This window comes from Homo sapiens, chromosome 5, assembly GCF_000001405.40.
Source record: "Homo sapiens chromosome 5, GRCh38.p14 Primary Assembly".
NCBI classification, from domain to species: domain Eukaryota; kingdom Metazoa; phylum Chordata; class Mammalia; order Primates; family Hominidae; genus Homo; species Homo sapiens.
In genome coordinates this window covers 64,601,198-64,626,299 of record NC_000005.10, presented here as the reverse complement: position 1 = coordinate 64,626,299, position 25,102 = coordinate 64,601,198, and the positions used below count along the sequence as shown (strand labels likewise).

Here is a 25,102-nt window from a genome sequence, read left to right as displayed (position 1 = left end):
TAAAGAAACCTTATACTCACTAACCTTCAATTCCCATTTCCCCTGCAACCTCCCTACCCCCTATACTAGGCAACTAGCAATCTACCTTCTGTCTCTACAATTTGCTTATTCTGGATATTTCACATAATTTGAATAATATAATATGTGGCTGAGTTCTTTCACTTAGCATAATATTTTTGGGTTTATTTATGTTGTAGCATATATCAACACTTCAATCCTTTTTATTGCCATTATTATTTTGTTGTATAGGTATACCACATGTTATTTCTCCATTCATCAGCTTCTTGACATTTGTTTTTTTCTAATTTTTGGCTATTGTAAATAATACTGCTACAAATGGTTGTGCACAGAGTTTTGTATGGACATATGTTTTCATTTATCTTGGGTATATTCCTAGGGGGAATTTGCTGAGTCATACGGCAACTCTATGTTTATCTTTTGAGGAACTGCCAAACTGTTTTCTGAAGCAGCTACATTATTTTGCTTTCCTACCTGCAGTACACTAGAGCTTCAATTTCTTTACATCCTAGCCAGCTGTGCTATTTTCTATCTTATATGATAGCTCCAGTAAAATTTTAATAGGAATGGTAAAAGTGGACATAGCTACCTGTTTCTCTTCTTAGAGAGAAAGTATTCAGTCTTTCACCATCAAGTGTTATATTACCTATAGGCTTTTTGTAGATGCACCTTATACTTTTTTGGAAGTTTCCTTTAACTCCTAGTTGCTGGGAATTCAAATTTAATTCCTAGCTTGTTCATTAAAAAAAATCGTGAATGGATATTGAATTTTATCACATGCTTCCCCCCACCTATTGAGATTATCAGATGATTTTCTCCTTGGTTTCTTGATATAGGGAATGACATTGATTCTTGAAAGTTGAACCAGTCGTGCATTCCTGGCATAATCCTCCTGTTGGTCTGGCTGTATTGTCGTCTGTCTGTCTACCTATCTATCTATCTATCTATCTATCTATCTATCTATCTATCTATCTATCATCTATCTATCTATCATCTATCTATCTATCTATCTGGTTGTATTTTACTCACTAGTGTTTTGTTCAACAATCCTTTTGAATATCTTGGTGATTGTTTTGAATTTTCATTAGCTCTTTTTTTTTATTCTGTTGTTGTTTTTCTAAGAATACTCTATCTTGTTTGTTGAGGATGCAATATCTTTCCAAATGTACTAGAGTATAATTAGAACTATATTTTCTCCAGTGTCAGTGTTTCTGATTTGCTTTTTTGATAGTCTTTCTCTTTCAAGTTGTAGACTCTCCTCAAATATCTAGTGATCCTTGTTTGTTTGTTCCTAGTTAAGAATGAGCTGGTTAAAGCTGATTGTCATTTAACTTATGGCTTCATCTTTGGGTAAATGTATGAGGAGCACAGAATAGGTTCTGACATTAGAATTTTGTGGCATAATAGGTTTTAAACTATCCACCCAGCTGTCCTTTAACATTGTGCCAATTTTTAGAAGAACTATTCAGTGCCATGACCACTCTCTCCTATATACTCATGAAGCAAAGCTACTATATGTCCAGTAAGTGCATAATCTTTCTTTTGCATCAGTTTGATGTTTTCTAAGCCTTTTATCTCTCAATAGAAGATGATATCTTGCTCTGTAACAAGTCATACAATTGGCTCAGCTCAGTGAGAGACTCACCATAGCAATATGTAGCAAAAATAAAAATTTCATCTTGATCAAAATTTGAAAGAAATGTGCAATGATACCAATGTTCTAATGAATTTGTAGAAATCTTTTCTAAATCTGAGAAAAGAAAACACAAAAGAAGTTGATTTCTGAATTGGGGATGGGAAGAGGGTTATTTTTAAGTAGAGTGGGTTGCTGAAGGAGGTGGAAGAGGCAAGCCTGGATCAGGTGCCACAGTCAGGTTTCTGAACATTTGGGGGCAATGTGAATGCTGGCCCCACACTTCACCTCTCTCACTTGGGGTGAGTACTCCTCTCTTCACCTATATGGAGGATGGGTTCTGATATAGATAAGTGACAGAATGGAATCCCTAGAGATAGACAGTGTACTGCGTTAAGAGATGGAATTTTAGTAGGAGAGTTAAGGGGATTTCTTAAAAAAAAAAAAAAAAAAAAAGAACTGAATGCAGCCAGGTGCAGTGGCTCACACCTATAGTCCCAGCACTTTGGGAGGTCAAGGCAGGCAGATCTCTTGAGCCCAGGAGTTCAAGACCAGCCTGGGCAACATGGCAAAACCCCTTCTTTACAAAAAAAAAAAAACAGCAAAAAAAAAATTACCTGGCATGGTGGCATGTGCCCATAGTCCCAGCAACTCAGGAGACTGAGGTAGGAGGATCACTTGAGCCTGGGGACGTAGAGGTTATAGTGAGCTGTCATCACACCACTGCATTTCAACTTAGGCAACAGAGTGAGACCCTACCTCAAAAAAAAGAAAATTGAATGGAAACAAATTCTCCATGGGAAAATTTTCTACGTGATGTAGTTTCTTCTTTTTCTCTCTTCCTTCTTAGATACCTAGTGCAGTAGATGGGTTTGTGATAGCTTTTCCTTAGGCATATTATTTCACTTTAAACAGGAAGTTTAAAGGCATAGTGACCCAAGATCACAGGCATAGTGACCCAGGATCACATAGAATGAGAGATAAGTTGACTTCTGCAGTTATGTGTAAGCTAGAATAATACCTCATATCTATGAAGCCAAACTGAGAGCACTCTCCACCATGTTACAGTTTCCTGCATTAAAAATAATATAGACTTTCACCATGTGGAGTTTTGTGGAAGAATTTCTTCATAGGAAAGTTTATCTTGCAGAGTCAAAGGGTAACAGCTGAGGCCGAGCACTGTAAACTTATAACTCAATAGTGGTATTTTCTGGCATCTATTTTAATTTATGGATCTTGGATTATTTTCTGCCAATATATAGTGATGAAGACAGAATTTAGAAACTAAGAAGAAAGCATAGTTAGTCTCTTGGGCATTCTCAACCTCACTTTTGATAGGAAAATGGTAGTTGCTAATTTGAGAGCAAAATACTCTGATGAAAGCCCAGAGTAGAGAATGATGGTTTTGTTGATTCAAAAGAGATCTATATGTTTGACATGTCAGACGATCAGACAGTAATATCAACAACATATTCACTCAAAATGTTTCTTCAGAGATGACTGTGTGCCAGGCAGTCTTCTGGGCACTGGGGATCTAGCAGTGATTAAAAACAGACAATAAACCCTGTCCTCATGGAACTTATATTTTAGTAGGGGGAGACATGATTATAAACAAATTCTGTCATATGTAAGAAGCGGATAAGCTCTCTGGAGGAAAATAAATCAAGGAAGGGCGCTGGAATGCTCGGCCTCCTATTTTAGATAAGATAATTATATAAGACCTCAATTAAAAGCTATTGTAGAAGATGCAGTTGGTGTCTTGCCCAGATCCCCCCTCCTGCGCTAGTGCACCTTCCAGATGCCACTTCACAGCCCACCGCCCCTCTCCTGAGAACTGCCCTCTGCTGATATGCCATCTTTCCTCAAGAGGTTATTCTGCACAGCTCCCTTGCCAGATGGTCCACAGCCAATGCCCCACAAGCATGAGGGTCAAAAGCTGGCTTCTTTGCCTCAAAGGGGTGCAATTAGACAATGAAGTTTATGCCCCAGACCCTGTTCCTTCCACCCCTAACAGTGGATCAGGCTAAGCCTAGATTTTACCTAAGACAATGTCCTTGCTCAGCTCTTTCCTCTAAGATAGGAAAAGAGGAAAGAGCTGAGCAAGGAGAAGAGTATTCCTTCAAAAATATACTAATACATGCATACAAATCCTTATCTTAGGATCTGCTTCTATGAAACCAAGCCTAAGACATTGGGTACCAGAATGGTCCTAGGAGGCTGCTTCTAAGGATAGGATTACTCACCAGACAGATGGCAGTGAGGTTCCTAGCCTGATAGCAGGGACCTAATAGCAGGCTAGGAACCTCACTGCCATCTGTCTGGGGAATAATCCCAATGCTGAGCTTTGGCATGTTCTAGCAGTGTAATTTCTAAGGCATTCACCTATCCTGTTGCAATTTGGACAGGATATAGGTAGGAGGGGATGCACTGGCTCTAGCATAGGAGGACTAACAATTAGGAGGGCTGTGGAAGGGGATGGTCACTGATGAGGGAAAATAGGCTCTGGGCAATCAGTCAACAATCTAAAGCAAACTGTGAGAGTGAGTGGGCCTTTTGGGAAGAACATAAAGAGAACCTCATCTTCTGTAGCTGGAGGGCAGACATACCTGAAGACTAGACACACTAGATTTAGTTTTAAGAGGGGCAGAATTTCAAAGCAGTCTGAATTCGCAATACTAGAGTTAGGGTCCCCATAGAGATGGAGCTCTGGAAAGGGAACTTCTAAATATTTTCCCTTGAGTCTGTTAAATTGCCCAGATTCTCCAGAACCCTCCGAGCCTGCAGAAATGGCTCATTCCACCTTGTGGAAAATAGAGCCACCACCCTCCATTTTGAAGACAATGCAGACACCTCAAATGACACTGGGGCCTTACAAGACAATGCAGGTCTTCCTCATAGGAAGGAAACAGGATCTGCCTGTGTTTCCTTTTCTGGCTGCCAGACCAGTAACTAAGGTGAGATCTACAATGGACATATGCTAGGCTTATGAAAGGAGGTGATGAATTATACACCAAAGGAGCTGACTTATGTGTACCAGCAGAAACCAGAAGAACGTGGATCCTAAGGGTGCTGGATCAAGGGGTGACAAAATATAAAACTGAATAAGAAACACTCTTCTGTGACATAAGATTTCACACTTTCGTAAGGGTCCTGGAAGATGGTTTAAACAGCAGTTAGGGCACTTGGAAGCTTGAAAAAAATGATGGGCCACATTAAATAAAGCTGTGATACAAGAATGACCATGCAGAATATAGAGGAAGGGATTAGAAGACTCAGAGAAGTAAACATACTGGCATAGATCTACTATGAGACTGGAAAACCCACCAGCTGACTCTGTTCCTTGGGAGGATGCAGAGGACACTTTATTTTCCAAGACAATAAGGAATGTCCTAGTGAGGGAGTAGCAGTATTAATAACGAGTTTTGTGGTGTCCATCCTGTGTAGGACAGGGCTGATAGTAGAAGAAGCCGTTATTGAACTGGGATCCTACTAGCAATGGAGATGGTAGGATCCTGGATTAACAAAAGCCAGGGGGAATCATCTAATCATCAGAAGCAAGGTGGGCATAATTGCTGTAATGGGCAGCAGGATCAGAATAGAAGGAAGAGAGGTAAACCTGCAGGGATCTTTGGAGATGGCTGATAATGGTCATCATGTATTCCTATAAGTAAGATAAATGGCAAAGGTTTACTTAAAATATAATTTGAAGGGAGCAAAAATGATGAGCAGAAGGCTGACATCACAATCTCTTATCCAGTTTCCAGATATGAGCCGGTTTTCTCTCCTCATCTACTGACTGGGGGGATACATGTCCATTAAGATGGTCTCTGCAAACTTTCCTCTTGCAAAGTTTGTGCAGTAATGATTCCCCTAGTCCTTCCCCAAATGGCCCTATGGCCATTTATTCAGGACACCAAATGATGGGAAAAGGGGGATACTCTACTCTTTCAAGTGCTTTGGATAAAGGTTCTAAGCCGACACTAATATTCAGGGGCCCAACATCTGTTAGAGGAAGAACAAGTGGAGTCCTGACCAAGATTGGCCTCACAGTGTGTCAGTGGCATCCATGGACCCACCTAGTAATTATTTCTTCTGCTATGAAATATATAACTGAAATGGATATACTTAGCAATTGGCAGTACTATCACATTGATTTGTTGACCTATAGAGGAAGAGCTATTGTAGTAGAAAAGGCCTAGTGGTAGTTTCTCAAACCTTCCAGCCTCATCAAGATAGTTAATCAAAAACATTACATATCAAGGATAATGGAAGAAATTCATGGATGTTGATTCTTATCATATCCCTATTTAATTCACCAGTTTGGGTTCTTCACAAACTGCACAAACCATGGCAGATGCAGTGAGCTGACTGCCACAAGCTTACCCAAGAAGCTCCAATAGTAGCTGCTTTGCTGAATGTGGTACCTTTACTGTAACTGATTAATACAGCCACAGGTATGTGTGTTATGAGAGTTTAAGACAATTCCAAAGATCTCTACTAATTGTAATTATAATAAAAATTATTACAGAAAAAGATGCAAGAAGTTTTAAGAGGATCAGGATTCTAGAGATATTACAGGTTCCCAGTAAGAATTGCTAATTTTATCTTCCCAGAAACAAATCAACTATCTTTACGTGTCACTAGCAGAGGTTTTCGGGGAAGAGATGGGGAGGAAACCTTTAAAAGCCCAGGCTAAGTTTTATCAACAGGAAAGTACATGTGTACTATTACAAATTATGCCACAACATTATGGGCTTTTATCTAACAATGAAAAAAGCACTCTATGTTCTCATTGTATAATATTATTACTCAGCAGATGTATACCTGGGGTATAGCCAAACTCCATGTCCTCAGATGACTTTTTGGAACCCAGCTTCTCCATCTCCAGTAGACCTCACATGTCCACAGCACACTATGTTTTCATAATATACTTTTTAATCACTGAGCGGTTGAGTACCTGAGACATAGCATAACTCCGTGTCCTCAGATGATCTTTTGGAGCCAGGCTTTTCTCTCTGTAGAAAACCTCACCATGCCTCATGACAGCACAGTCTGAGCCTATTAATTTGAGGGTTCTTTCTAGGGAACATCGCCTCTATCCACTAAGTTGGTGGCATCATGTTAACTGGACTTGGTGACCACGAAGTACTGTGAATGCCATGGTAAAACACATGAACTCCAGGGGATGGGAAATAACCCTTGCAAAGATTAAGGGACCTACTACATTGGTAATGTTTTTAGGGGTCCCATGGTCTTGGGGATGCTGGGACATCCCCTCCAAAATGAAAACAAGTTATTGTGCCTTAAATTTCCTATCATTAAGGAAGAACTATGAAGCTTGGTCAGACCCTTCAGGGTTTGAGGCAGCTTATTTCCACTTGGGATGCAGTTGGTCCCAAGACGATATAGCTGATTCTTATCATCTTCCTTAGGGATGGAGTTCTGACCCGTGTATCAGATGATGTTAAGAATGTTAGTTTTAAGTGGGTCCCAGAGCAAGGAGCAGCCCTGCAGCAGGTTTAGGGTACAGGATTAGCAGCCCTGTCACTTGGGTTATATCTGGCAGAGGCCATGGTACTAGAGGTATCTGGGTATTTGAGGATGCTAATGGAGACTCTGGAAAACTCCTGTAAGAGAATCACAGCAGAGACCCTTAGGGTTTTGAAGCGAGGCCATGCAATCTGCAGCAGAAAATTCTAAACCATTCAAAAAACAGCTCCTGGGAGGGATGAGGCTATGATTGGGCCCAACAGCATTGATTTGTGGTAGACAGAATAATGACTCCTCCAAAGATGTTCACATCCTAATCCCTTGAACCTGTAAGTGGGTCATTTTACATGGCAAAAGGAGCTTTGTAGATTTGATTATGTTAAGGATCTTGAGACAGGAAAATTATCCTGGATTATCTGGGTAAGCCTGATGTAATGACAAGAGCCCTTACAAAAGGGAGGCAGAAAGGTCCAAGTCAAGGAAGAAGTGATGATGGAAGCAGGGGTTATAAACAGAGAGGGAGGAGAATTGAAGATGCTACACTGCTGGCCTAAAGATGGAGAAAGGGGCCATGAACCAAGAAATGCAGGAGGCCTCTAGAAGCTATAAAGGAAAGGAAATAGATCCTTCTCTAGAGCCTCTGGAAGGAATGCAAGTTGGCTGTCCCTGGATTTTAGACCAGTGAAACTGATTTCTGACCTCCAGAATGGTCTGTTGATAAATTTATATTGTTTTTAGCCACAAAGTATGTGGTAATTTGTTACAGCAAAAACAGGAAACTAATGCAAGCCTTTCTCACCAAGGCTGGCAGACATTCGGCCTGCTGAATGTCCAACCTATCGGTAACAGAGATTGACACTGTGCCCATGATACAATGTCATTTCTCGATAGGAACTACCTGCCACTTGATGGTAAGTTGACGGCATCTACCCGACTAGGATTAACCTGTTTTCTGAACGCAGGTTTGCCCTTACTGTCTGCAGGGCTTCATCCAGCACCATTCTCTGTGGACTCACTGACGTGTGATCTACTGAAATAAGATCCTGCATACCACTGCCTCAAACCAAGGGTCCCATTTTATAGGAAACGTTATCAGAGAAAACATGACTACTGGATTCACTGTTCCTATGACATACTCCACCCTGATGGAGTGATGACATGCTCTTAAAGGAGAGGATACCTTGTAACATTGGGTGTTATCCTCCAGGATGCACTATTCTCCTTAAACCAATGGTCGCTATATGGTTGTGTCTCCAATAGATAGAATATATGGGCCCAAAAATCAAAGGCTGAAAGTAAGAGTGGCCTCAGTAATCCACTGTATGCTTCCCATTTCTATAACTTCAGTGTCTGTAGGTCTAGAGATCCTGGGTCCTAGAGGGGAGAAAATGAGTCCCACTAAACTTTAAGCTACAGCTGTTACCAAGTCACTTTAGATTCCTTATGCCAGTTAACTTGTAGGCAAATAAAAGAGTTATCATACAGACAGGGGTAGCTGGCCCTGATCTTCATGGCATGAGAGGGCTACTGCAAAATAATCATGATGCAGGTAAATATTTGGCACTCAGGTTGATGCATCCTCTCTTGGTATTCTCATACCCAGGTTTAACTGTAAGTCAAAAAGAACAGCAAACACAGTCCAATAAGAGCATGGTAACCCTCAGGACCTCATATTCCTTGGTGAGGGTCTAGCCATTCTACCAGGCAACCCAGAAGGGCCAGCCTAGAATGAAGGGTTCTAGAATGGGTGGTAGAATAGGGAGATGATGAGGATCAGCTATACAATCTTGGGACCAAATGCATAAGTGGGGGCTGTGGTTTGTCCCACTATCCCTCTTTTTATTTATGGCTCCAGGAATTGTGACAGCAGAATTCAGAAGAAACTGTATCTGGATGGAGCAAATTTAATGTGAGAAGCAAGTGGATCTGAGCAATGCAAGGGGTGAATTGTCATAAATGCTGTGGTGCCTGCCCAGATTTGTGTCACGGGGCCATAATATTGTCTCTCAGCTGCTGTAAATGTTGGCTGCTGTAGCACTATGCATTCTTTCACACTTAGCTTTTGTCCACTCATCATTGTTATGGTTATATTCTTTCATATGGTTGTAAGTAGCTGTAATGTAGTTCATTTATTTGTTTTTACTGCTCTATAGCATTCAACTGCATGAATATACCACAATTTGCTCATTCCATGCTTCTATTGATGGATCTTTGAATTGTTTACTGTTTTTGGCTGCTGCAAATAATGTAGCTATGAATATTCTTTTACCTGTCTGAATACACACACATATGTTTTTGTTGGGTTTCTATCTAGGAGTGAAATTATTAGATCAGAGGGTACACAAATGTTCTAGATAACAGATATTGTTGAACAGTTTTCCAAAGTGGTGTGTGTCCTGTTAGGAACTATTTCACAATTCTACAGGTGTGAAGATATTCTCCTATATTATCTTCTGTACTTTTTACTTTTTAACTTTATATCAGTAATCAATTTGGAATTAATTTTTGTGCATGACATGAGGCAGCAGTCAAGTTTACATTTTTTTCCACATGGAAATCAATTAATGTTTGATTTAAAACACTTTTTAAAAGATTTTCCTTTCCCCAATGTTCTCCAGTACGGTATCGTGCAATGTTTTGTTTGTTTGATTTTTTCTCCATAAAAGAGCTTTAGTTCTAAGCAAGTAATTAGACAGTTATTTGGTTGAACCTCTTATGATGTTGGTGTTATTATCCCCATTTTACTATGAGGAAACTGAGGCATATGGAAATTAATTTAGTGAACAGGCTCTTCTGTACAAAGATGCACCTCATAATGCCTTAAACAAGGTAGACATTACTTTATTTATTTATTTTTGTGGGTATTAGGATGGAGGTAGGTGGCCCAGGGCTGCTAGATATGAAAATAAATAAAATTTAAGAGCTATTGGAATCCCCCAAACACTTTCAGCCTTGAGAGAGATATGACTGTGATCTGAGTTAAATATTGTTACCATCTCTGCTCTTAGATTATAGATTAACTCGCTTTCTTATTTTTCTTGTTTAGTTCATTGGCTGGAGAGAATTAAACACCAAATACTTTAAGCCTTGAGAGAGATATGACTGTGATCTGAGTCAAATATGGTTACAATCTCTGTTCTTGTTTTATAGATTAACTTGCTTTCTTATTTTTCTCGTTCGGTTCAATGGCTAGAGAGAATTAAACATCAGGAACAAAACCTCCTGCCTTCTTAATTAATGACTCTTAGATTAATTTCTCCTTTGTTGTCCTGCTTTGCCTAGACCAGATGACAGAAAACCCATGGTTATTACACCCTCTGTAAGAGTGTGTCAAGTGTACCCTTCCCAGAAAGAAACACTGCCTATAAGCAAATTGCTATGTGTGCCAACCTTGTATGAATAAGGTAATTCTGCTAAAATCTCCTCTGTCTCTGCCTATAGAAATGAAATCTTAATTTCCTTACTTTCGAACACTGACTCTATTCCTTTGGAGGTGGTGTTTCTGGGTGGTACATCTTCCCACTTGGGCTTCAAGAAACTCTCTTTAAGTTAGATTTTGATTATTTTAGGTTGACATAGGGAACCTCTGCCATCTTCAGTTGGTGTCCATTTCTGGATCCAGCATGGTTGCTTCAGTTCCCACGCTCGTGTTCTCATTGCACAGGGAAGAAAAGAAGATCACGAAAATGCATGCCCTTTATTTAATGAATGTTACCTGGAAATTGTGCACTTCTACTCATACACTTCTGGCCAAATTCAGTTATACAGCCACACTCACATGCAGAGGAGCCTGGGAAATGGGAGTCTTACTTTAGGTGACTAGTGGTGTCTTTGGGTTCTCTATTACTAAAGAAGAAAAGGAGAGAATGGATACTGGAACTGCTAGCCATAGGCATGTACTTGGTTGCAGCACATCTGAGATTCACATGAAAGTCTATGAACTCCAAGCTGTACTGTACAGCCCTTGGCATCCAGCTGGACCACAACAGTTTGCCCCTTGAAAACCTTCTTGGGATACATTCCTGTCAGAATTTCATTTCTAGATATCTCTCCAGGAATGTAGGGGTATGTGTGTGCGTGTGTGTGTGTGTGTGTGTGTGTGTATCCTTTTATTAGAAAACAAAATTATTTAACTTAATGTATTTCTTTTTCTTGCTGTAGCTATCAGAAACCCTGAGCTAAATTTAAAGACATTGCTCTTGTTAGTGAAAAAGTTTCTAAATCTGTTTTACTCCTTCCTCTAGTGACTTCACTTACCAGGTTTTGTTTCTCTCTTACCTTCTTTTCCAGGCCCTTCCTTCCTTTCTCTCTCTTTCCTTCTCACCCATCTTTGTGTCTCTCTGTCTCTTCTATTCTCAAAAGCTCTGGCGCCCTGTTGTTTCCTCTCCATATCCCCACTGCCCATATTTTGACAAAGAATAAGCCAAGGAGGGGATGGGAATAGGGTGGGGAAGAGGATGAAGACAAGTAGTGAGTCAAAAATGTCCCTCTCACATATTCATTTTTTAAAACTTTTATTATTAGTTTTTATTACACAAGTAATACATGTTCATTGTAGAAAAATTAGAAAACACAGAAAAGCAAAAAGAAAAAATAATCACCCATAATCCCACTACCCATAACTACTATTAACATTTTAGTGTATGTCCTTCTAGCTTTCTTATGCATATATATACATACATAGATATATTTATATATAATTTTCTTTTTTACAAATATTGTGTCATACTATACATACTGTTTTATAACATGTGTTTTTCATTTAATATATATTGTGAACATCATTGTTTATTCCCTGAAAAATTTTACAGACACTACATGCTCATTGTGGAAAATTAGAAGTTACAGATATGCAAAAAGAAAATATAATTGCTCCAAATCTCACCTCCCAGAGATAAATGCTTTTACACTTTGGCAAGTATCCTTTCAGACTCTTTAATGCACACATGCATACATATATTTTTAAAAAGGGATCGTACTATAAATATTCCTCTATAACTTCCTTTTTCATCTAACAATATAGCTTGTACATTTCAATAAATACACATATGGTGCTTATTCTTAACTGGTACACAGTATTCCATTGAAAGGATGTACCATATTTAACCAACCCTATAAAGTAGGCTTATTTACATTTTTCTGCTTATCCAAATAATGCTGCTATAAACATCCTTTCTTGCATATACTTTTTGAATAATGAATAAATACATCTTAGCTCATTTTATTTTCTGACCCATTTAAAGGAGAATTTCCCTAAAGTGGAATTACTAGGCATGCAGGAAAACTATATTACCAAAATATTTTTTCAGAAAGGTGGAATCAATTTACATTCCTGTTGACTCTGTAAGAGGTTTATTTCTGTACTTCCTTTTTGTCCCTGGGAATTTTAATTCTTTATACCGTTTGCCTTTCTGACATATAAAAAGGAATATATCATATTAACTTGCATTTTTTATTACTAGTATATTAAAACACTTTTTCATATTTATTATTAGTAGGTTATTTTAGTTTATTGTGCATTGCCAGTTTGTGTTCTTGGTCCAATTTTCTGTTGGAAAGTTTGATTCTCCTTGAATTATAAAATGTCATTTATTCATTCATTATTCACTCATTCAATAAGTATGTTTTCAGCATTTGCTTTGTGTAGCACTGTGTTAGGTGTTATGGATACAACAATAAGCAAAATAGACATGGTTGCTGCCTTCTTATACTTCCAATTTAATAGGGATAAACAGGCAATTAAACAAGCAATAATGAAAACGTTCAATAAGGAAAGAATGAAATGGAAACACTTGGTTGAGAAGGGGATTGTAGATCATGGAAATGTCCCAAAAGTAGTGATGTTTAAGCTCTTAATATGTATTTGAGATCTATACTTTTTGTAGCATATATTGTTTTCTCAATTTGGTTTGTTATTTTTTACTATATAGGAGTTTAGCATTTTTAATCAGTCAAATTCCATCCATCCTTTCTTTCTGTTTTTTTCCTTTGGTGTCACTCAAAGAAAGGCTTCTTTCACACTAAAATTATATAAATATCCATTCACATTGCCTGCTAGTCTTGTTGTATGTTTATTTATGTGCTTGAATATGTAAATCTTTATTTCATCTGGAATTTATTCTGATAAAAATTATGAGGTATAGGTCTAATATTTCTCTCAAGAAATAGCTAACCAGCTATCCCAATATAAATTAATAATCCAAACTTTTCTGATAGATCTGAAATGTCATTTTTATAATATACCCAATTCTTTTATATTCTTAGGTCTATTATGGTCTATATATTTAATTCTAATAATTTATCCTGAGGCCAATAGTATCACAGCTTTTTCTCATCCTACCTATGGTTACCTGAAAGTTGAGCATTTTGTATTTGGTGACATTCCTAAGACAAAGAAATGATAGACGTTGCCTGGGTATGTGGGTAGGGTGGGAAGTTTGACCGGATGATATGCTTAATCCTTTCAATGTTGACACTTTCAGAGTTTTAAATTCCAGATGGGATCATTGTTAATCTGGTCCATTTGTTTGCTGTTTAAAACAAAGTAGATGCTTTTACATTCTGTCTTTATTTCACCTCACTCTGAAGCTCAGCTTTCAGTAGGTGGCAGTATTGCCAAACACTCAGTATCCCGACTGGTTTCGTAGGAGCACAGAGAAACAAAATGGTCTGGCAATTTTAGAATTTCCCCCAAGAGCTTTAACTCATTAGAGGAGGCATCAGGACTATGCTACTTCTAAAGCTTTCTTTATACCCCTGAATAATGGCATAACCAGAGGTTTGCAGTGAGTCTGCTCCTAGATGCGTGCAAAACATTAGCGGACAGAATTTTTTTTTTCTGGCTTGTTTTTTTTGTTTGTTTTTTTAAGTGACACCTTGGCCTTGTGGGCATTTCTTCACTTATCTTACCCAAAAGTGCCTTTGGGCCCAGCCACTGACTGATTTAAAACCCAGAAATGTGGTTTTAAACAATGTGGTCGTGGTGGAATTCAGGTGATTTTTATTTTCTATTTGGTAGTATTTTTCAGATTTCCCACAAAGAACATGTATTGTCTTTGTAATTTGAAAAAAAAATCAACACAGGATAGTAAAGATATGGTGGGAAAATGGGTGAATGTATGCCACAAAAGTTTACATCATTTTCTGTTTCAAGCCTGTGGGTACATGCGACAAAATGAGTTCAATGTTCTCTTCTTAACCCTAGAGATCAGCTCAGTGTTATTGCTAATCTGAAAGCGAATTACCAGCAGGAAGCCGAGACAGTAGAACTTTATCGCTTGGAACCACACCTGAGAAAATCCTTTGGTAGGTGAGAGGAGAGTGGGGCAGCTCCTAAGGGATGCATTGGCCTGTCTAATGTGAGACGGTGAATTACCTACTGTAACCTTGGGCCAGTGTAGGTTACCAGGGTTTTGAGCACTAAACTTAATTTTAGTATATGCTACTGAAAGAGGATCTTTAGATCTTGGAGTTTATCCACGGGAACTACAAAACTGATCAAAGGCTGGAAAACAGGCACTATGAATAAAAGATACGGTAGCTGAATATATTACCTTAAATATGCAAACTCTGGCTAGGTAATTAGACAAATTCCCATCTCCATGAATAGCTACTATAGCCTTTTCAGACATGGAGGTGAGACCTGAATTTATTAACAGTCTTCAGTTGTACAAAGGACAATTGCACAGAAGGTAAGTGTTACTTTCACACTGAGGCTAAGGTGAGAATGAACACAAGTTAACCAAGCAGAAGTTATTTAGGTCAGGCATTTAGAAGAACGTGCTGAACAAGATTGGGCTTATCAGTTAATAACTTTTGCATGGATTAGTAGGAACTAGATTGAAGCTAGAGTTCAATATAGTTGAAGTATAGGAGAGGGCAGAGGCAGGTGCTGAGAGCTGCCAAACTGGGCTACTTCAAAATTTCAAAAACAATGGATCTTAAATGAAATGACCTTAGTGGGTGAAAATGAATTAGATTCAGGAAAGGATATTAAGCTGAAATCAAGGTTTGCAGACCAGATAAGTCTGGATTGCTTGCTTTTCCAGGGAGTATTTACCCTAAGAGTCTTTAAATAGCCAAATTGTTTTACAAATATTTGATTCAGAAAATTGTGATTTTCTCATATAGCTTTCCACGGCTACTTCTTTTTTTTGAAGCCAGGTATACCTATAACCATGCATTAATTACTGGTTCCTTGGAACACAACTCTAGATTCAAAGAATAAGGCCAAAAACCAGCTGGTATGATCTAAATAGAGACCTGTATAACGTTCTCTTCCAACCCTTTAATTCTTTCACTTTCAATCAAAAGAGCTAGAAGACAATTCCAAGTATAATTTCCACATTGGATATTAGGGTGAACTATAAGAAATTGCCATTTTGTAGGTCAAAACAGTCACATATAGGAAATTTCATATAATTCAACCTAATACAATAATTATTACAGTAGTTCATCTTCACTAAAGCAAAAGGCCTTAATATATTTAGTTTTTAGGTAAAAATATTGGTATACATATAAATGCCTGTGCACATAAGTATTGGTAAAGAACAGGGTTGGGACTAAAGATGTGTCTTGGATAAACCACTTATCGGCATCTAGCTCATCCTTCTATTGTACTGGACACTGGTGCCTCCTGTCTGACTTGAAGGTTTTTCAGACTATGGAAAACAAGAAAAAAAGTGCAAAGACTTGATCTCTCAACCCATGGGAAATTCTGTCTGGGAAATGGGCCAAAGGAAGAACAGGAGACGGTATAACAAAATTTGTACCATGTTACAAGTTTAGTGAAGGAAGATCACAACAAAGCTGTGAGCAGAAAAACAAAGCATGTGGCTTCCTCCTTTCTAAAATATAGTATTGCTTAATGTGTCCTGCTTTCAAGAGTCTAAGCATAAGACAAGACACCAAGTACACGTTGGAAAAATCTTATCTGCATAGTCATCTAAAATGAGACAAGCTTAGCTTAACTAAAAAACTTTATTAACAATGTAAAATGTTAAATATTTTTATAATCTGAGCTAATTCCAGCATGCCCTATAAGATTTAACACTATGCTGATGTGCAGACACCATGCTTCAGATTTCAATTAGAACAAAATGTAATAATATTTGATTTTACATTTGAGGGCAATTGTATATGTTACTACACCATTTCCTAACTGGATTACTTCATTCTCCAAGAAGCTGAAAAAGACATCATTGGATCAAAAAGAAATTAGTTGCCCATATGCATTTGTACGAAGGTATTAGGATTATTGTGTATTTACAAAATTTTAGTACTTTTCATATGTGGTTTTTGTTGCTTTATAAATTAAGATACTTTTATGTTGAAGCTCTTAGATTCTGACAGAATGGAAGACTAAATGTAAATGAGTGCAGAGAAAGCAATAGGTGAGGTGGTATATGTTTGCTTATAATATTATTTCTAATGATATTGATAGATTGGATTTTTGAACACAGTTTTTCAGTTTTAAATAGATTTCTATGTTTAAAGACTTCTTTCATATACGATAAATTTTAACATGAGATCAGCAAGAGCTATAGATATACTATTATATGTGAAATATTTTTCCTCTGTATAATACATTTAAAAAACCTTTAAATAATTTAAAAATCATAATTCTTGCATCTGTCATGGCGTGGTTTGGAGCAGACATGCACAATGTCAGCTTTAAAATTCCCTTTTAAAAACAGCCTGGTTTTTGAATCTGTTCTTTTTTTTCTTGACGGCAGCTGCTTTCAAGTGTAAAATCATTTAAAAGGGCAGGGGGAGGCAGATAAAAGTAATAAGGAAGCATAGAAAACATAGTCAAAAACCAATAACTGTGTGGTTCAGCTGTCTGGAGGTCCTCGGGTTTTGTGATTTTTTTTCAGATGTTCTCAGTGGGTTTCCAGGAGGAGCCACCTAGCTTGAGATGAGACAACACAGCCCAAAGAACCTTCTCTTCCGTCTTCTCACCAGGGGGTAGGGAGTTAGATTCAGAAGGCTGCTGTCATCTGTGATGGGACATAATGTGCACATAAGTGAGGTATAGACACAACAACCTGCTTTTTAGGAAGTGGCTTTAAAAATCCACCATCCTCCTAATCAGGATTTCTCAACCTCAGCACTGTTGGCATTTTGGACCAGATGATTCTTGGTTGTGGGGTACTGTCCTGAGCACTGTGGAATGTTTAGTAGCATCCCTCAATTCATCAGATGCCAGTAGCACTGTATGACAATTTGTGGCAACCAAGTATATCCCCAGCTATGACCAAATGTTCCCTGGGGTGGGAGGCAAAAGAGTTCAAGGCTGAGAACCACTGCTTAAAATTGAATTGAAACTGCTTAGAGGCAATCTTTCAGTTGGGAAACGTATATACCTTATTTGAAAGAACCCATGCTTATGAGTAAGGTTGGCTTCTTTTCTAAACCTGCCTCTGCTATTTGCCAGTTCTGTGACTTTGAACATGTAACTGAAGCTTGCTAAGCTGTCTGTAAAATAGAGTTTAATAAAACTTAGCCCAGGTGAGGATTACATGAAATAATCTATGAAAAACATTTAGCTATGGTGAGTAGCTTACTGTCTAGCATAGAGGAAGCGTTTAGTTAAAATAGCTATTATTAACTATTTTCCTTTACATTGGATCATTATCACACCTTCATTCATTGACTTCATGTCTCTTCATGTTTCAACTATTTCCTATTGAGTCTTTCCCCAGCACTTTCTATAGATTTCTGTACACAAGGGCATTCATAGAAGACTGCCAGCTGTTGAATTAATAAGTTTTGGTTTGAAATTTTTAGGATGATGACAGGTAGAGGTAGAAATAAACCAGTAAATCTAATCTGGTTTAAAGAGTTGGGTTATTTAAAAAAGTGCAAAGCAAAAGAGAAGGTGGGTAGAAATATCCTGTTGAAGCAGAACTTGTCAATGTGGGTCCCAGAGGCAAAGGACTATGAGGGGATAATCTAGAATTTTCCAACTGGGGCAGTGTTATGACATGGTCAGACTGGAGCTAAGGGCAACAAGATGGTTGGCATTGGTGACTGTTACGTACCTAAGCTCCGCCAAGACTAGTTGCACTTTCCTTCCAGAGTGGGGCTAAGGAGTTCCCTCCTTTCCCTGTCCTAACCTTAAAGGGGATGGAAGCTTGGCAAAGGGCACAGAAGCAGAAGTTAGATGAAGAGATAGCTAAAGTGAAGAATGTGCCCCACCTCAATCGAACTGATTCGTAGAAGAGGGCTTGTTTTTCCTGATTACTGAGCCTAGATGCTGTAAACCAAAAATAAAATTGTAAACCCCCCAACCACCTGAATGGCCCCCTCCTCTCAGCCAACTGCATTCCAAAGTTAACTTGAAAAGCTAGTTCAGGCCATGTTGGGAAGAGGCAGTTGAACATTCTTCATTATATCCTCCTCCCTTTTGGAATTTAGACAAAGCTGACTGGAGTTAACATCAACACAGAGACCTTAAGACTGATAAAACAGACTCCTTCCGTCCGATAAGAAGCATTTATAATCTATTTTTGCTGAAGTCTGCTACCTGGAGGCTTCATCTACATGATAAAACCTTGGTCTCCATAACCCCCTATCATAATAACCCAGACATTTCTTTCTGTTGCTTCCCGGTCTTTAGATAATAACTCAAGCAACTGCCAATCAGAAAATCTTTGAATCTGCCTATGACTTAGAAGCCCCGCTTCCAGTTGTCCCGCTTTTCCAGACCAAACCGATATACATCTTATGTGTATCGATTAATGTCTTATGTCTTCCTACACGTATAAAACCAAGTTGTAGCCTGACCACCTTGGGCACATGTTCTCAGGACCTCCTGAGGCTGTGTCATGGGCATGTACTTAATCTTGGCAAAATAAATTTCTACATTGACTGAGATGTGTCTCAGATACTTTTTGGTTTACAATGCTCAGGAAACTGTTGAGAGCAAAAATAGATTCTGGCTTTCCAGTCCTCTTACATAAAGTGTCATCTAAGTGCCTGGGCTTCTCCTCCCCTTCCCAAAGGCTCTAATGTGTCATACTTATTTGTAAATTAGTATCACCCACCAAGGTTGACAGTGTTCCTTGGAATGTTGCACTATGTTATATATTTAGATAGAGCTAGAGTAGCAAGTCCAAGCCAGAGAAGAAAACAGGTGCCTCCGCTGGGCATATCAAATGAATCAAACACAGTCCACCCTCCCAGTCTCCAGAGATTAAAATCCTTTCTTAAAGCTCATATTCTGTTAACATGGAGAAAAACAGGGCTATAATTGTCCTTTCCATAGTGAAAAATAATTTACTATAATCTGGATGTCAACATTATGAGAGTTAAAAAGAGGATATCTTTCTTTTAAAGTTAACTTGCTCCCAATAGTTAAGAAACTGAAAACAGTGTTAGATACTAAACATTAGCCTCAGTTTTCAGGAGAACATCTCAGAGATAAACCATGAAATATTTGGAGCAGAAAGAAATAACTAATTTTCTCATCATTTTTAGGACTCTTACTTCTTTAACCATGAATTGATCAATGTACTTAACCTAGTTGGATATGGCAAAGATATAGCAAATTCTGAGGGGTAAAGAATTTTACCTTTCAGTGTCTCTTTGGACTCTGAATACACTTTCTGAAACTCAAATTCACCTGGAATTCAATGCTTCCCTAAAACAGAGTCACCAAAACTATGAAGATATTTATGGGAAAGAAAGATCTTCATAGTGTTCTTTATTTAAGACTTGGAAGATCTATTTTCTAAATTCTGGTATCTCCTTCCCTTTCCCCAAAGACATCTAATTTGGGGAGAGACTGAAGTGGTCTTTATACATTATAGAATGCAACTCTGATGTGTTTGCTCCTCTTACATGAGGAAATACCTACCACAATGTTGTATTTACAAAGGAAAATGTGTACGTGTATGTTGTGGTCATATATTTAGTTCCACTGTCTTGTTTTTGTATATATTAAAAGCAAGTAGGTATTATACACAGATATTATGAAATTTGTTTCAAGGTTCACCCTTATATCTGTGATGCACTCACTACAGTGGATTAAAAAAAACCTAAAAACCTTTCAATAGCACAGCCTTTTGAGCTATTGAAATTCTTCTCGCTCAGCCTTCTCTCTCTCTCTCTCTCTCTATATATATATATATATATGTATCCAGATATACATATATATAGCATATATATATGTATCCAGATATACATATATATAGCATATATATATGTATCCAGATATACATATATATAGCATATATATATGTATCCAGATATACATATATATAGCATATATATACACATTATGTACACATACATACCCACATATACACATATATTTATGTGTACTATATATCTCTCTCACAAGTGAATAAATTGTTAGGATTGATGAGAAAGTGCTCAGACATGAAGAAAGGTCAGGCTGCCTATTAAGGACAACTGCTGGTTTGGGGCATCTTTGCTGCACATTTGTGAGACCTTTGCCTTGCTTAGAGCTTGTCTGACTATCACCTAAGGCTGAGGTAATAGAAAAGCTAAAAAATTATTGGCAGAAATTCAGAGCAGCTTTCTACACCATAGGGAGCTGACACCTGCAGTAAATGCTGAAATTTACCAAGCAGTAAGTATTCCTGGGATGGTTTGAAGTGAATTCAGCTCCAAGGAAATGTGTCTCTCCACATTGATTGAAATCCTGTCTCTGAAAGCCTATCTCAGCAGCTCTGGGGTGGGGCCAGAGCATCAGCATTTCTTACAAGTTCCCAGACATTGCTGCTAGTCCTAAAACCACCCTATGAGAACCACTGAATAAACAGAAGGACTGCAAGAATGTAAGCAAAAGGGAATGTTTCCCCACTCATTCTAAATTTTCTGGAATAATCCACTTGAACTTATTGGAAAATCTTTGCTTTTTATTGCAAATTTTTGTTTAGATGTGGCTTCTAATTAAGACTTTTATATCATCTTTTCTCCAAAGTACTCACTCTCAGAAAACTATAACCTAAGACAGTTTTAAATGTGAAAATGAAAGGTGGAAAGGGAAGCAGAGTAAGTAAAGCACAGGAGAAAGTAAAAAAAAAAAGAGGGAGAATAGGAAATTTGGACACCAGTAAGTTCAAACCTCAGTCATTCAATGTTTAATTCTTTTAGATTTTTAAAAAAAATTTTATTTATTTTTGGAGTGACAGGGTTTCATTACGTTGCCCAGACTGGACTCGAACTCTTGGCCTCAAGCAATACTCCCACCTCAGCCTCCCAAAGTGCTGGGATTATAGGAATAAGCCACCATACCCAGCCTCAACATTTAATTCTTGAATGCTACTAAAGCCAGGGACACTGCAATTCCCCCAAACCACTTCTCTATTGCTCAAATTTATTTTGCTGATAAAAGATTTCTTATATAGGTGATAAGGAATGCTTCTACTACACTGCAGTTACAAATATCTATTCCAGGGAAAAAAAGAGAGAGACCCTCAGCTAAGCCAGTGGTTCTCAAACATTAGCTGCATCAGCCTCATCTTAGGTCTTGTTAAAGCACAAATTGCTGACCCCACCTCCAGAGTTTCTCAGTCAGTAGCTCTGGGGTGGGGCCAGAGGATCAGCATTTCTTACAAGTTCCCAGACATTGCTGCTGGTCCTAAGAGCACACTTTGAGAACCACTGGATTAACAGAAGGCCTGCTAAGTCCAAGGCTCTACATTGGGTACTGAGGATAATACCAAGATGGATCCTAATAGAAAGATAGTCCCTGGCCTCAAGGATCTTTCCTTGAGTAACTATAAGGCTTCATGAAAAATGCCGTAAGAAAGATCTGAATACATTGCTATGAGAATGCCAGGCAGGAGAAGGGGGGGAGATTCCTCCCATTTGGAGGAGAAGGAAAAAGATGTTTATGGAAGATTCACGGAGGCCCTGGGAGTTCATGCTGGGCCACGAGGAATGAGAACTTGGACATTTGGTGAAGGTGGCAGGGGATAGGCCTTCAGAATGGAGAGAACAGTGTGAATAAAGAGAAGTGATCAAAGGCAGCCTGAATTTGGGTCCAAGTGAACAGTCCAGTCTGGCTGGAATGAAGGGCTTATGAAGGAGGAGATAGTCCAAAACAGAGTTACTTAGAATTCCCTAACGATGCCTGTACTTTCTTTTGCCTGCTGCCTTTGCACTTGCCACCTCTCTTTTCAGAAAAGTCCTCCCTCCTTAGACAAATGGCAAGCCCTTCTTCAAAGATTAGCTTAAACATTTTTTTTCCTGCAGTCTTTTCTGACTGCTCCATGCTTCTGCATTCCTTCACGTTCCCATTGCTTCTATAAACAATTGCTACAGCTCTTGGCACATCATCTGCATCCAATCCCATCTTCCCACCGCTCTGTAAGCAACTCTTTATAAAAGTCTTAATGAATTTACCCCGGCTGCCCCAGCTCATCATCTGCCATTCACTTCCCCTCCTCCTTAGCCAAGCTTCCATGCCCAAAATTCCAAGAAAGCTGTTTTTGCCAACACCACAAGTGACTACCTTGTTGTTAAATCCTGTGGACACTTCCAATTCGTATTTAACTTCACCACTGGCCATTCCTTCTTTGCAACCTTCTTTGATTTATTTAATAATGCTCTTGTGATTTTCATCTCAGTCCCCTTTGTAAACTGATCTTTCCTCTCAAACCTTCCATTTTGGTATTCCAGGACTCTTGTCTGTGCACACTGTTGGTAGGGCTTCAATTCCCACTATGCTGATGATGCTCAAATCTGTGTTTCAGTCCTCTCAGATCACATGTCTCACTTCAGCACTATTAACCACTGAGCACTGCTCCAGAAAGTTCCCCCCATGTCCAAAAGTTGTTGTTCTCTGCCTTTACTACTGCTCCTCTGTTGTCTCTAACTTGGTGACCAACATCGTTATTTACTCCATTTTCCAAGTCTGAACTTGGGTTTCTTCCTTGATTCTGCTTCTCCTTATGCACCACATCCAATTGTCTCTGTCCTCCTCTCCAATCCCCTGACTTTAGGTGAGATCTTAAGCATTTCTCACCTGGATGACTGCACCTGCCTCCTTATGGACTCCTTCCAGTGGCTCCCAAACCTCTTAACATGGCCTAAGGGGTCTTAATGATACAGCTCTTGTCTCTCTCTTGTCTCTCTCTTAAGCCTTTTGTCTAGAGACTTTCCCAACTACTTAAGTCCTTGCAGTTATCAAAATCCCCTCCTATTTCATCTCCCCATATGCCTTCACACATCCAGAATCTTCTGCCTAGACTATCTTTTTTCTATTTCTTTGGCTAAGTGCTACTCATCCTAAAAATTCTCAGCACAGATACTTTCTAAAAAGCAATCCCTAATAATCCCCCATTTTCAATTAAAGCCTAGGCTAGGTGAGAATCTAATATACCTTGTAGCAACCCATATCTAACTGTTATGGCATTATTATATTGTGAGCACTAATTTCTGCGTCTTTCCGATTGTGTGTGTGTGTGTCTGCATATGTAATAGTTGTTTTCAGCCCAACCCTGAAGGCTCTACCAGAATCTGTGAGAGAGGAGGCATATGGCATTTGGAAAAGTTTCCTAGGTGATTCCCATCCAATTTTTCCCTGTTGAAAGGGACAGGTTTTAGTGGAGGAGAGACCTCCTCAGCACCTAGCACAGAATTTGACACATCATTGGTGACCATTATATGTTGGATGAGGATGGGGACAAAGGCTGCTGGGGTGAGAGGTCTGTTCTTCCTTCAGTAGATAGTGAGTAGACATTTCACATTTGTGAGTAGGAGCTCAACATAATAGAGTAATGCATTAAGAAATTAGATTGGTTTACATACGTCACACTGAATCTTGGACAAGAGATTGCAGAAATTGCAAAGGATATGGGGCTACTGGTAAAACTGCCCAGAATAATTTTCAGACAGCAGCTAGAAACATAGAAAGTCTTTACGAGGCCCTTGGGGGAAGGACCTAAAAGGTCATCTCTAGGCTAGATGGTGGCATAACTGCCCAGTGTTCTTCAGCCAGATATCTGAGAATTCTTCTGCCTCACACAGCCAGGTTCGGTTCTGGATGTGGGGGTCCTGATTGGAGGAGGATGCTATGAGTTTGGGAGAACTATCTCTAGGCCCACATTAGTCTGGAGTAGTACTGTTCACAGGAGGGGACTCATTCTAGCCCAGGTCAATTCCTGACTTACCTACTTCTCGACTGATTCTCGTGCATGGCATCAACGACCAAATTCTATGCAAGAATGAACATACTGACACCTCCCACAGCATTCACTAAGTCAGAATTTTGGAAAAGGCAAAACTGTCCTTCAGGCTTAATTTATTTCTGCTGATTTGTTTTGTTTGATAACAGCATGCATTTAGAAGATGCTTGTCCTTCACTTTCCAATCTCCTTTTAGCCTCTGTCCGTAACCTTGCAGGCTCCCCACAGGTGGTTCCATTTGTAATCCATTTGACACAGCGAGACTATCATAATTAATGAAGCTCCCTACAGCACTGCCAGTGTCCTAGAATGTAGGACAGGAGGGGCGCTGAAGCAGGGGAAAGAACAGCGGGCTGACAGCCAGGAGACCTGGCCCTTGTCTGCAGCCTGCAGTGGAACTCAGCAGTGCAAGGGTGGCTTGCTTTTCTTTCGTGCATCTCTTGGCCTCCAGTCTTAAACTGGATGGACGGGAAAGAAAAGGCTGAAAATGAAGGCATAATCACTAACCATTAAAATTCCTGCCCTTGGCCACCTTCCTTTCTTCTCCACTGAAAGTTGATTTAAAGTAAACCATTGTGGAGCCGAGTTTTGACTGTAGTAGAAAGGGGAGAAGATATGATTAAGTCTTTAAATGCTGAAATAAACATGGAACAGTTTTGGAGTTGACGGCCAAGTTAGAACCTGGAGAATAGCGGACTCAGTCGGCAGCATTTTCACGTGGTCGGAGTTGAGATAGGAAAAATGGGGACCAGGAGTGGTATCTTTTCCCTTTTTTTCTGATTTGAGGACCCATGAAATG

General features: G+C 38.9%; 1 protein-coding gene across 5 annotated transcripts in view; it reads right to left on the bottom strand.

The window, feature by feature from the left end:
- Window positions 1-13,980: 13,980 nt before the first annotated feature.
- Window positions 13,981-25,102, bottom strand: part of RGS7BP (regulator of G protein signaling 7 binding protein) — a 106,305-nt gene continuing 95,183 nt past the window's right edge. For 3 of the 5 annotated variants that reach the window (NM_001029875.3, NM_001271890.2, NM_001271891.2), the window contains one exon: window positions 13,981-17,139. In NM_001029875.3, coding sequence (NP_001025046.1) covers window positions 17,048-17,139 — 92 coding nt within the window. In that variant the 3' untranslated portion in view covers window positions 13,981-17,047. Of the gene's footprint in view, window positions 17,140-24,810; window positions 24,896-25,102 lie in introns of all 5 variants that reach the window. The other 2 variants (XR_948251.4, NR_073511.2) reach the window with 1 other exon arrangement.